General features: G+C 45.8%; 3 annotated features.

Moving 5' to 3' along the window:
* Positions 570-1,141: an enhancer, noted in NCBI's record as "H3K27ac-H3K4me1 hESC enhancer chr11:34011296-34011867 (GRCh37/hg19 assembly coordinates)". NCBI's record gives its function as "activates a minimal SCP1, AML or CMV promoter by ChIP-STARR-seq in primed H9 embryonic stem cells {active_cell/tissue: H9 hESC(primed)}" and the evidence as "EXISTENCE:reporter gene assay evidence [ECO:0000049][PMID:30033119]".
* Positions 7,284-7,784: an enhancer, noted in NCBI's record as "H3K4me1 hESC enhancer chr11:34018010-34018510 (GRCh37/hg19 assembly coordinates)". NCBI's record gives its function as "activates a minimal SCP1, AML or CMV promoter by ChIP-STARR-seq in naive H9 embryonic stem cells {active_cell/tissue: H9 hESC(naive)}" and the evidence as "EXISTENCE:reporter gene assay evidence [ECO:0000049][PMID:30033119]".
* Positions 7,785-8,285: an enhancer, noted in NCBI's record as "H3K4me1 hESC enhancer chr11:34018511-34019011 (GRCh37/hg19 assembly coordinates)". NCBI's record gives its function as "activates a minimal SCP1, AML or CMV promoter by ChIP-STARR-seq in naive H9 embryonic stem cells {active_cell/tissue: H9 hESC(naive)}" and the evidence as "EXISTENCE:reporter gene assay evidence [ECO:0000049][PMID:30033119]".

Consider the following 13,923-nt stretch of genomic DNA (forward strand, 5'->3'; position numbering starts at 1 on the left):
GTCTTACATGGCAGCAGGTGAGAAAGAGAAGACAGGGGAAACTGCCAAACACTTTCAAAGCTTCAGATCTCATGAAAACTTACACACACCGTCACAAGAACATCACAGGAGAAACCACTCCCATGATCCAATCACCTCCCACCAGATCCCTGCCTTGACATATGGGAATTACAGTTTGAGATGAGATTTGGGTGGGGACACAGAGCCAAACCATATCAGAGTATCAGTTTTCCTTCAAGGTTTTTTGGGGTAAATGTTATTTTATAGTAAGACCAATGGATATATTAAGGAGCATAAATGAAACATTTTAAAATACTTTGAGATAAAAAGGCAAAAAGATAAAACTAAAGCCATCCCGTTGGTGAAAGATTGCATCACAAAATCCTCTAGGACAATGCTTCTCATGCTTTCACGTGCAGATGTCTCTCCTGTAGGCAGGGCCAGCTCCATGGGTGTGAGGCCTGTGGAGTCGCACCTACACTTGCAGATCCTGACTCAGCATGGCTAGGCTAAGGCTGCGATTCTGCAGTTCTAACGAGCTCCCACGTAATACCTGTTGTTGGTCCAAAGACCACACGTTGAGTGGCAAGACCCAGCCCTTCTCTCTATACCTCTGTTTGTTAACACTTAACCAGGAAAGTTTAAGAAGCAGTAGAGAAGGAGGGCAGTGAATCACAGCAGTCAAAATAATATAGTGAAAAGCGTGGGTCTTTACCACTACTTACTCTGTAAAATACTGAGAGGTGACAGCGTGCTGGCAGTCCTCAGAGCCCTCGCTTGCTCTCGGCACCTCCCCTGCCTGGGCTCCCACTTTGGTGGCACTTGAGGAGCCCTTCAGCCCCCCACTGCACTGTGGGAGCCCCTTTCTGGGCTGGCCAAGGCCGGAGCCCACTCCCTCAGCTTGAAGGGAGGTGTGGAGGGAGAGGCACGAGCCGGAACCGGGGCTGCGTGCGGCGCTTGCGGGCCAGCTGGAGTTCCGGGTGGGCGTGGGCTTGGCTGGCCCCGCACTCGGAGCAGCCAGCCAGCCCTGCTGGCCCCGGACAATGGGGTACTTAGCACCCGGGCCAGTGGCTGCGGAGGGTGTACTGGGTCCCCCAGCAGTGCTGGCCCACCGGCGCTGCGCTCGATTTCTTGCCGGGCCTTAGCTGCCTTCCCGCCGGGCAGGACTAGGGACCTGCAGCCCGCCATGCCTGAGCCTCCCACCCCCTCCATGGGCTCCGGTGCGGCCCGAGCCTCGCGGACGAGCACCACCCCCTGCTCCAGGCGCCCCGTCCCATCGACCACCCAAGGGCTAAGGAATGCGAGCGCACGGCGCAGGACTGGCAGGCAGCTCCACCTGCAGCCCCGGTGCGGGATCCACTAGGTGAAGCCAGCTGGGCTCCTGAGTCTGGTGGGGACGTGGAGAGTCTTTATATCTAGCTCAGGGATTGTAAATACACCAATCAGCACCCTGTGTTTAGCTCAAGGTTTGTGAGTGCACCAATCGACACTCTGTATCTAGCTGCTCTGGTGAGGACGTGGTGAGTCTTTATATCTAGCTCAGGGATTGTAAATACACCAATCAGCACCCTGTGTTTAGCTCAAGGTTTGTGAGTGCACCAATCGACACTCTGTATCTAGCTGCTCTGGTGAGGACGTGGAGAGTCTTTATGTCTAGCTCAAGGATTGTAAATACACCAATCGGCACTCTGTATCTACCTCAAGGTTTGTAAACACACCAATCAGCACCCTGTGTTTAGCTCAAGGTTTGTGAATGTACCAATCGACACTCTGTATCTAGCTGCTCTGGTGGGGCCTTGGAGAACCTGTGTGTCGAAACTCTGTATCTAACTAATCTGATGGGGACGTGGAGAACCTTTGTATCTAGCTCAGGGATTGTAAATGCACCAATCAGCGCCCTGACAAAACAGGCCACTTGGCTCTACCAATCAGCAGGATGTGGGTGGGGCCAGATAAGAGAATAAAAGCAGGCTGCCCGAGCCAGCATTGGTAACCTGCTCAGGTTTTCTTCCACACTGTGGAAGCTTTGTTCTTTGCAATAAATCTTGCTACTGCTCACTCTTTGGGTGCATGCTGCTTTTATGAGCTGTAACACTCACCGCGAAGATCTGCAGCTTCACTCCTGAGCCCAGCAAGACCACAAGCCCACCGGAAGGAATAAACAACTCCAGACACGCTGCTTTAAGAGCTGTGACACTCACTGCGAAGGTCTGCAGCTTCACTCCTGAGCCAGCGAGACCACGAACCCCCCAGAAGGAAGAAACTCCGAACACATCTGAACATCAGAAGGGATAGACTCCAGACGCACCACCTTAAGAGCTGTAACACTCACCGCGAGTGTCTGCGGCTTCATTCTTGGAGTCAGTGAGGCCAAGAACCCCACAATTCTGGACACAATACCACAGATTGCTTTTCTCCTGATGGCTCAGTTTCCTCCTCTGTAAAATGAGAATAACAGTCACCTTGTAGAATAGCTGTGTGGGTTAAATGTGTGTAAAGCATTTCACATTCAGTGTTCAGTAAAGACAGCTACTTTCAAGCTTTAAATGGTAACTAAACATAAGACCATGGTGGAAAAGAAAACATTCAGGATGCTTCTTTCTTCATGTTAATTGTGTTTCCCATTTTCCAGTCTCTCCTCCTTGCACCTAGGAAAAAACACTCTTGGAGACAGCAGTTCTGTAAAGGAAATATCATAGGACCTGCTTATTTTTTATTATTTTTTTTTTTTGAGAGAGAGTCTTGCTGTGTCACCCATGCTGGAGTGCAATCTTGGCTCACTGCAACCTCCGCCTCCAGGTTTCAAGCGATTCTTCTGCCTCAGCCTCCCAAGTAACTGGAATTATAAGTGCATGCCACCACACCCAGGTGATTTTCATATTTTTTTAGTAGAGACAGGATTTCACCATGTTGGCAAGGCTGGTCTCAAACTCCTGATCTCAAGTGATCCACCTGCCTCGGCCTCCCGAAGTGCTGGGATTACAGGCATGATCCACTGCACCCAGCCAGGACCAACTTATTCTTTATGCAAAACTATTTTGTTGATTTCATGGGAAATATTATTAGTAACAAGAGCTATAAATACAAGATTAGTTTACTAGGGTTGTCATAACAAAGTAGCACAGAGTAGATGGTTTAAACAACAGAAATCTGTTTCCTTGCAGTTCTAGAGGATAAATGGTCAAACTCAAGTCATTGGCAGGTTTGGTTTCAGGCTAAGGCCTCTTTCCTTGGCTCATAAATGGTGGTTTTCTTAGTTCAAGCTGCTATAACAAATTACCATAACTGGTTGGTGTGAACAACAAACATTTATTTCTCACAATTCTGGAGGCTGGCAAGTCCAAGATCATGGCACTAGCAGACCCAGTGTCTGGTGAGGGCATGCTTCCTGGTTTACAGGTGGTTACCTTCTCATTATATCCTCACATGGCAGAAAGCAGACAGAGAGAAAGCTAGCTTTGTCTTCTTATAGGAGCACCAGTCCCAGCACGAGAGCTCCATGCTTACAATTGAATTACCTGCAAGAGTTCCCCCACCTAATGCCATCCCAGGAGGGGTTAGGGTCCAATATAAGAATCTGAGGGGAGGCCGGGGGCAGTGCCTCACACCTGTAATCCCAGCAATTTGAGAGGCCAAGGCCAGGGGATTGCTTGAGCCCAGGAGTTCAAAACCAGCCTGGGCAACATAGCAAGACCCCATCCCTACAAAACAATTTTTAAAATAGCTGGGCATGGTAGTGCATGCCTGTAGTACCATCTACTTGGGAGGCTGGGGTAGGAGGATCACTGGAGCCTAGGAGGTCGAGGTTGCAGTGAGCTGTGACCATGCCACTGTACTCCAGCCTGGGAAACAGAGTGAGACCTTATATCAAACAAACAAACAAACAAAAACAAAAAAAAACTTTGGGGCAAACGCAAACATGCAGTTTATAACAGTCGTTTTCTTCTTACAACTTCACATGGTCTTCCCTCCATGCACGTCTGTGTCCTAATCTCCTTTTCTTTTCTTTTCTTTTCTTTTCTTTTCTTTTCTTTTCTTTTCTTTTGTTTTTTTGAGATGGAGTCTCACTCTATCGCCCAGGCTGGAGTTCAGTGATGCAATCTTGGCTCACTGCAGCCACCACTTACTGGTTCAAGCAATTCTCCTGCCTCAGCCTCCTGAGTAGCTGGGACTACAGGTGCCCGCCACCACACCCGGCTAATTTTTGTATTTTTAGTAGAGACAGGGTTTCACCATGTTGGTCAAGCTATTCTGACCTCAGGTGATCCACCAGCCTCCACCTCCCCAATTGCTGGGATTACAGGCGTGAGCCACCACGCCCAGCCGAACCTAATCTCCTCTTCTTATGAAGACAGCAGCCATTGGATTAGGGCCCATACGTATGGCCTCATTTTACCTTAATTACCTCTTTAAAGACCCTATCTCCAAATACAGTCACATTGTTCAGTACTGGGGTTTAGGACTTCAACATAGGAATTGGGAGGGAGAAGCACACAATTCAGCCCATAACAAACACAGAGGACAAACCCAAACATAAATAATATCAGTGAGTTAATATGAAACCCATCCTTGATTTTTGCATTCTTTGCAATATATCCTTTATTCTTTTTTTTTTTTTTTTTTTTTTGAGACGGAGTCTCGCTGTCGCCCAGGCTGGAGTGCAGTGGCGCAATCTCGGCTCACTGCAAGCTCCGCCCCCTGGGGTTCACGCCATTCTCCTGCCTCAGCCTCCCGAGTAGCTGGGACTACAGGCGCCCGCCACCTCGCCCGGCTAATTTTTTGTATTTTTAGTAGAGACGGGGTTTCACCGTGTTAGCCAGGATGGTCTCGATCTCCTGACCTCGTGATCCGCCCGCCTCGGCCTCCCAAAGTGCTGGGATTACAGGCGTGAGCCACCGCGCCCGGCCTATATCCTTTATTCTTAAGTGAATATTATTCATTGAGGATGGGGGCTCTTTCCATGGAAGTGAGGCAGCATGTGTGAGAGTTTTCAGTCCAACAGAACTTATTTTGATTTGCTTCTCTGCTATGGACCACTGAAAACTTGGGCAATTACTTTGTGCCACTAAGCCTTAGTATTCTTAACTATATGAGAATAACAATAATGCCTACTTCACAGAATTACTGTGAAGATTATATGAGATAATCTGTGTGTAACAAATTTTTTTTTCTTTCTTATTCAGCAAAAGAAGCTGCCAGCAGTTTAATATAGATTACCTTTGTTCTTGTTTTGAGACAGGGTCTCACTGTGTCACCCAGGCTGGAGTACAGTGGCTCTATCTTGACTCACTGCAACCTTCACCTGCCAGGCTCAGGTGCTCCTCTTGCTTCAGCCTCCTGAGTAGCTGGGATTACAGGTGCGTGCCACCATATCCAGCTAATTTTTGTATTTTTTGTAGAGACAGGAGTCTTGCCCTGTTGCCCAGCCTGGTCTAGAACTCCCAAGCTCAAGTGATCTGCCCACCTGGGCCTCCCAAAGTGCTGAGATTACAGGCATGAGCCACCTCACCCGGCCTGTAGATTACCTTTAAATATATCTTTTTTATTATTATTATTTTGTATTTTTTTGCTCACTCCATCACCCAGGCTGGAGTGCAGTGGCGCAATCTCAACTCACTGCAACCTCCACCTCCCAGGTTCAAGCCATTCTCTTGCCTCAGCCTCCCGAGTAGTTGAGACTACAGGCACGTGCCACCACGCCCAGCTAATTTTTGTATTTTTAGTAGACACGGGGTTTCACCATGTTGGTGGTCTCGAACTTCTGACCTCAAGTGATCTGCCTGCCTCAGCCTCTCAAATTGCTGGGATTACAGGCATGAGCCACTGCGCCTGACCTGAAGATATCTTTAGAGTCTTCCTTCCTTAAATGTGGAGGCCAAAGCAATGCCGTCCTGGAGTTGACTCCATGTTGCACCATGTTGACTTCTGATTAACTCCAGTTCCAGGAACATCTCTAAAATATTGTTTATCTATTGTTCTTTGTGTGAGAGCATCTACTTACTATAAATCCTGCCCTTAGGTCAAAACAACTTTGTTGATTCATGAGTAAATCATGTGGCTAAGTTAAATCAAACCTCTCTTTTGCCTGAAATAGCCAGAAAATAAAATGTGAATTTGACTATGAGGTTTTCTTAAATTGGCCTAGTAATTTTGAATGTATTACAAGAATTGAAAAAAAGGAGACACTGTCATTTCAAAGAGTTCTTCTCTTAAGATGTAATATGAAAATATCTAACAATCTTGATTTTGCTTCCTAATTGTTCTTGTATTGATACATGACATTTGTACATATTTATGGGTTACATGTGATGTTTTGCTACATGCATGCAATGTGTAATGATCAAATCAGGGTATTTAGCATATCTATCACCTTGAAATGTATCATTTCTTTGTATTGGGAACATTTCAAATCTTCTAGCTCTTTTGAAATATAAAATGGATTATTATTAACTATTTTAAAAAACAACCTTGATGTTATTGTACTTCATTTGTCCTACATATCTTTTCTGAAGCACGAACACCCTTTCCCTGAGTACATAAGCCCTGGGTCTGGAGGGTGATGACCCAGGGATCCACCATTTTGTCTAACCGACACCCAAGACACAGACATGGCTTCTGTTGGCAAGTCCCTACTAAATATTTCTTTTTTTTTTTTTTTCTTTTTTTGAGACAGAGTCTCACTCTGTGGTCCAGGCTGGAGTGCAGTGGCACGATCTCGGCTCACTGCTACCTCTGCCTCCCGAGTTCAAGCGATTCTCCTGCCTCAGTCTCCCAAGTAGCTGGGATTACAGGTGCGCACCACCATGGCCCACTAATTTTTGTATTTTTGGTAGAGATGGGGTTTCAACGTGTTGGTCAGTCTGGTCTTGAAATCCTGACATCAGGTGATCCGCCTGCATCAGCCTCCCAAAGTGCTGGAATTACAGGCGTGAGCCACCATGCCCAGCCCTAAATGTTTCTTTCTAAGGAACTGGATTTGTCAGCCTCTTTCTTCAGCCTCTCCAAGTTTCTTTGGACTTTGGGGGATGAAGTCGCATAGACCTGTCCACCAAGGAACACCAAGGAAACATCTAGGGGCCTGACGCTTAACTGAGTGAAGGAGGTTCCCTTCAGTAGGGAGTTAGGGGCAAGTTTGCAGAGTGAGCCCAGGGATCTTCGGGTGAGGACAACTAACCCCTTTCCCCAGTCTCAAACCTTCTCCCTGGGATTTGGAGTTAGATATATTGAGGCGAATGTGGGCAACCCAGAAAGAATCCAGAGACAGGAGAAGGCAACAAACAAGTCCAAGTGGGTAAAGAGATACAGACCATGTGGCCATCCTTGGCAATAAACCAGAGGAAGAGTGTAGATGGTGATTTTGTGTTCTTTAAGTCCTGGATGCTGGAATTGGCTCTGGTCTATCTCTTAAGACCTTGAATTTGCAAAATAAGCTTATTACATTAGTAATCAAACCCTGGAGTCTCGGCTTAGCAATGACAAGAGGCCTCTGCAGAGCACAGGCATCCCCTTTCCCTGAACTGGGGAGCTGAGGCCCCACCTCTGCACTTTGCTCTGGCTCCTTCTCAGTTGAAGGGTTGGGGTGCACATCCGCACCGGATCTGCTGTTTCTCCCCACCTGGAGCTGCATGAAGGAATTAAATATAAACCTTGGACGTTTGGGCTGTGAGCTGCCTCCGTGAGCGTAACCCCAAGGGAATTGCAACCCATCCTCGGATCTCCCTACCCCCATCTGCGGCAGATTCCACTCTAGCAACAATGGTTGCTCCAGTAGCAGAGAACCGGGGCCTGGATTTGGCCACTGCCCGCCACGCCACGGCCAGCTTCTGCAGCACTCAGGCCCTTCGCTGCAGTCAACCCACTGAAATAGGTCCAAACAGTCTGAGCTTCACCTCGAGACACCTGTCAGGGCTCTTCGGCCCTAGGACACCTAAAGGCAAGGAGGATGGAGCCCCGCGGACAGGGTGATTGAACTTCTGAACTTCCAGCTCTTACCAGCAGGTGGAACCCCAAACAATGCAGTTCCAGAACAGACTGAGAACGTTGTATCCAGTAAGAGCACACAGCGCCGTCTCTAACACGCGGTAACCACCTTTAAAAATGAGTAGTTATTACGGGAAAGGTAATTATTCACGTAACAACTTCCTCTCCCCCTCACTATTTTATTTTTGCAAAATGGAAAGAAGAGAAGGAATTTCTCCCTGTTAGCAGAAGAATGAAACTCTAGTCCGGAATATGATTTTTTTCCTTAACCTTAAAGGATTGTGCAGAGGAAATGAAAAGTCCTAAAGTACCCTCCCTTTTACTTTCTCACCTCTCCTGCTACCCCTACTCCTTAAATTTCAGTTGCCTACTATAGCTATAACCATAGCAACCCAGCTGGTGGGAAATTATGGAAACTCCTACTCATTCTCCTAGATTCAGGTAAGTCTTCACCTTATCTGGGAAGGCTCCACCAGTCTCCACTTTGGCATCAGAAGAGACTATCTCACTGTTATCATGACATGGACATCCCGTGCATGCCTGTATTTGAACACTTGTCTCATTGTTTCAGAACTCTGTTGGCCTCCTTCATTACAGAATGATCTACTTGTTCATATTTGCATCCCTGGTGCAAATGTGTGGATTAGTGCCTGGCACATAGAAGCTGCTTAGTGCATTTCCCACTCGTCAATGCCAGAAACTGAAAGGAGGAGGGGTGGAGACTGTATGGCATTAGGATGGGAGGGGGAGGGGAATGAAGTGGAGTCAGAGTGGCCTAAGGGGCCCTGGCAAGACAGCCACGGAGGAGATAGGAATCATGCCCTTAGCCAGGAAAGCTGTGCCTGGAACGCAGGCTGTCCAGGGGAGCAGAGAGGGATAAGAAACTGGAGAAAAGCAGTGAAGATAGCAACCTGAGAGTATGGGGGTGGCAGGGCAGGGAGAAGTTGAAGTTCAGATCAGTCCACAGCCTTTGAAATGGGTTAGGGCAAGAGGTTCAAGACTGAGACCTGGTGAGGCCGAGTGTGGTGACTCATGCCTGTAATCCCAGCTCTTTGGGAGGCCAAGGCGGGCGGATCACTTAAGGTCAGGAGTTCGAGACCAGCCTAGCCAACATAGTGAAACCTCATTGCTAGTAAAAATACAAAAATTAGCCAGGCATAGTGGCACACGCCTGTAATCCCAGCTACTTGGGAGGCTGAGGCAAGAAAATCACTTGAATCCAGGAGGCGGAGGTTGCAGTGAGCCGAGATCGTGCCACTGCACTCCAGCCTGGGCAACAGAGCGAGATTCTCCATCTCAAAACAAACAAACAAACAAACAAAAAACAAAACTGAGACCTGGTGAAAGGGGGCTGCAGAACTTTTTAAAATGGTGTTAACTATATAGTGGAGGGGGAGATGGAGTCTGGCAGAACTGAACAGTGAAATCAGGGGAAAAAATACCTGTCCTCAATTCCTCTTCTAGTGGCTCAGGGAGGTGGGAAAGAAACAGATCCAGTATGAATACCTTGTAATCACACCTTTAACCTTTTAAACTGCTAAACGACACACATCATTTTATTTAAAAGCAATATGGACTGCTGGCCAAGCCGAGCTTGGTTCAAATCCAGCTCTTCCACTTATTAGCTATGCGAATTTAGATGTCATCTCAAGTCTCTGAGCTTCAATATATCCTACAAATAAAGGATATTAAAACCTTCCTCAAAAGACTAATGAGAAAATTTAACATAATGCATGTAAAGTGCTTAGCACAGGGCCTGACACAGGGAGACACTTAGCACTTATTCCATCCTTGGTCTGGTTCTTTTTTTTTTTTTTTTTTTTTTTTTTGAGACGGAGTCTCGCTCTGTTGTCCAGGCTGGAGTGCAGTGGTGCAATCTCGGCTCTCTGCAAGCTCCGCCTCACGGGTTCAAGCGATTCTCCAGCTTCAGCCTCCAGAGTAGCTGTGATTACAGGCACCAGCCACCACGCCTGGCTAATTTTTGTATTTTTAGTAGAGACAGAGTTTCACATGTTGGCCAGGCTGGTCTCAAGCTCCTGACCTCAAGTGATCCGCCTGCCTCAGCCTCCCAAAGTGCTGGGATTACAAGTGTGAGCCTCCATGCCCGGCTGGTTCTTTCCTTCCAGTGCCAGCCAAGAATGTGTTGTCCAAATGGTTCTTCCTGAATCCATCTAAATTGCACTAAATCTTATCATGATTTGTTTTTCAAATGGGGGGTGGAGGTTGAGTGCTCAATATGATTGCAATAATCCTTTTACAGGGTCTACAGAAGACTATATGGGTACTTGCTAACTTTTGAACTATATTCTTCTTTCTCTCATCTGTTACCTGGTGGATGTAATCTGTGCCATTTTTCCCCTGTTCTTTCACCTTTGGGTGATGAGGCAATAATCGTTGCTGCAGGAACATTCACTCAGCCAAACTATTTCACCAACATTTTGTCCTCAAATACATTCTTTGTTTCCCATGTGAAAATTGGTCTGTCTTTCATGAACAGAGATGACAATGTGATACTCTTCATCTTCAATGGGCTTTGTTAGCTTTCTTAGAATAACAATAGGTGGTGGTGAGCTGTCCACAAACTGTTTCACTTGGGATCTCAACCTTATTAGTAAGAAACGTGATTGGAAGGCTGAAGCAGTAGACTAGAAATTTGTGCAATTACAATTCCTGCATTAGCTATAAAACTGTCCCATGTCAAAGGATAGACGGGTGAACCTATAAACTGAAATTTCAAATAAGAAATCTGAAGGATGGTTCTCTTTGTATAATAACCATCTTACATAGGGAAAGAGAGAGTGATCTCCTATATATCATTAATCTCCTCTCAGCACATTGCCTGTCATTTGTCACACCTTTAGAGTAATAATGACATTGTGTAAGCACACTGGGGAATGTAAGGTGCACAAGGAGTCAGTTTTTTTTCTAACTATACTCCCAATATAGTTAGAAAATTTAAAACACTTTTCTAAATAAATACATCAATTAAGAAATTATTAGGAAACTTATTAACTATTTATGACTAAATGACAACCAAAGCACTATATATCAAAACAGATAAAGTAGTTTTTTTTGTTTTTTTGTTTGTTTGTTTGTTTTTTGAGACAGAAGCTTGTTCTGTGGCCAGGCTGGAGTGCAGTGGCACTGCAACCTCTGCCTCCTGGGTTCAGGTGATTCTCCTGCCTCAGCCTCCTGAGGAGCTGGGACTACAGGTGCACAGCACCACACCTGGGTAATTTTTGTATTTTTAGTAGAGATGGGGTTTCACCATGTTGTCCAGGATGGTCTCGATCTCTTGACCTTGTAAACCGCCCACCTCAGCCTCCCAAAGTGCTGGGATTACAGGAATGAGCCACTGTGCCCAGCCTAAAGTAGTTTTTGAAGAGAAATTTATAACCTTAAATGCATATATTTGGGGAAAAAATATTAAAATTAATTTATCATGCAATTAAAGATGTTGGAAAAAACCACAGAGTGTATGCCAAAAAAGAAAAGGAAAGAAAGAAAGATGAAAGATAGGCACAGAAATTAACAAAATAGAACATAAATAAGAAAGAGTATCAACAACAACACCAAAAGCTTGTTTACTTGAAAAGATTAACATACTAGATAATCCTCTAGTGAGATACATCAAAAAGATATAAACAATATCAGGAATGAAAAAGGGGCCAGGTTCGGTGGCTGCCACCTGTAATCCCAGCACTTTGAGAGGCCAAGGCAGGTGGATCACCCGAGCTCAGGAGTTTGAAACCAGCCTGGGCAACATGGAGAAACCCTGCCTCTACTAAAAATACAAAAATTAGCTGGGTGTGGTGGTGCATGCCTGTAATCCCAGCTACTCGGGAGGCTGAGGCAGGAGAATCATTCAAATCCAGGAGGTGGAGGTTGCAGTGAGCCGAGATCACACCACTGCACTCAAGCCTGGGTGACAGAGCGAGACTCTGTCTCAAAAAAAAAAAAAAAAGAAGAAGAAGAAATGTTCCTTTGTGGTCAGCGCGGTGGCTCACACCTGTAATCACAGCACTTTCGGAGGCCCAGGCAGGCAGATCATGTGAGTTTGAGTTTGAGTAGAGTTTGAGAGTAGAGTTTGAGTTTGAGTTTGAGTAGAGTTTGAGACCAGCCTGGCCAAACATGGTGAAACTCCATCTCTACTAAAAATACAAAAATTAGCCAGGCATGGTGGCAGGCTCCTGTAATCCCAGCTACTTGGGTGGCTGAGGCAGGAGAACTGCCTGAACCTGGGAGGTGGAGGTTGCAGTGAGCCAAGATTGTGCCACTGCACTCCAGAATGGGCAACAGAGTGAGACTCTGTCTCAAAACAAAACAAAACAAAACAAAAAGAAATGTTAGTTCGCCATTCTGTAGGGTCTGTTTCACTTGTTCAGGCAGCTTATTTGACGATGCCTTTTCCTCTTGAGTCTCAGACTGCATTTCTCACATATCTGTTACGTTTGGCTTTCTGTTGTGGAATAAAAATGGTTACATTTGCCATTAGTTAAGAGCTTGGGCTCTAGGGTCAAACAGACCAGATTTCGAATCCTGACTCTAAAACACAGTAGCTAAGATGTTCTTAGAAAAGTTGAGCCTTCATTTTTTTTTTCATCTGTAAGATGAGGCTAATGAAGGGGCCTCCTCCACTGGGATGGTAATAAATCAAGCTGGGTTCTCTGTAGCACACAGAAGTCTATGTGGAAAAAAAGAAAAAGAAATCAAGGGCCAGGCACGGTGGCTCACATCTGTAATCCCAGCACTCTGGGAGGCCGAGGCAGGTGGATTGCCTGAGCTCAGGAGTTCGAAGCCAGCCTGCGCAACACGATGAAATCCTGTCTCTACTAAAATGCAAAAAAAATTTAGCCGGGCATGGCGGTGTGTGCCTATAATCCCAGCTACTTTGGAGGCTGAGGCAGGAGAATCACTTGAACCTGGAGTTGCAGGTTGCAATGAGCTGAGATCGTGCCATTGCACTCCAGCCTAGGTGACAGAGTGAGACAGACAAAAAAAAAAAATAATAAAAAAAGAAATCAAGCCGGGCTCAGTGGCACGTGCCTGTAATCTCAGCTGTGGGGGAGGCTGGGGCAGGAGGATAGCTTGAGTCCAGGAGTTCAAGACCAGCCTGGGCAAGACAGAAAGACCCCATCTCAAAAGAAAGAAATCAGTTAGCAGCTCGGTGCTCACCAGATGAAACGCTTAATGAATGTTGATTGTTTTCTGCAAACACTGCTAATAATTATAGCATGGTTCTACAAAGATTATCAGTCATCGAAAAACAACAATGTATTTTACCAAATATTGACTTTTTAAAAATTCCAGAGTAATGTCAGGAAAGATGATACGAATCACTCAATTAGCCAAAGACAAAATTGGTGCTTTGTGGGCCAGTCCCTTTGCAAACAGGTGCTGCCATATGGTGCTTCCAGGCAGCAGAGCCCTGTCCTCTGCTGGCAGTCATAACAGATGCCATCAGCCTTGTCAAACCAGTCCGATTAGGTCACATGGCTTCAAGTAATCTGTTTTAGTTCCCTCTCTGGCCAGTCTATAAACTGAGGTAATCAAGGAACTTGGTTCTAACGCTTGGTAAAGAAGGAGAACTGGGTGGGGGGTGCAGGCAGAAGGATAATTAAGAGAAAATGTATTCTGGAACTAGATAGAGGTGATGGTTATACAACATGGTGAATATACTAGATGTTACTGATGGTAAATTATGTTATGTATAGTTTACCACAATAAAAGAGATAGACAGAATGGTGCAAGATTGACCCCTGAGATTCACAGAATAATCTGCTAGGTACAAACACAGACTTGGGCTATGATTCCAGTAAAGAACAAAAGAAACATGTAGTCACTTTACAAATTGACAGAGATGCATAAACGTGTCATGCATAAAAGATGAAAGTATTCCATGTCTGATATGGTTTGGCTCTGTGTGCCCACCCAAATTGCATC

Source organism: Homo sapiens, chromosome 11 (genome assembly GCF_000001405.40).
Source record: "Homo sapiens chromosome 11, GRCh38.p14 Primary Assembly".
Classification (NCBI taxonomy): Eukaryota; Metazoa; Chordata; class Mammalia; order Primates; family Hominidae; genus Homo; species Homo sapiens.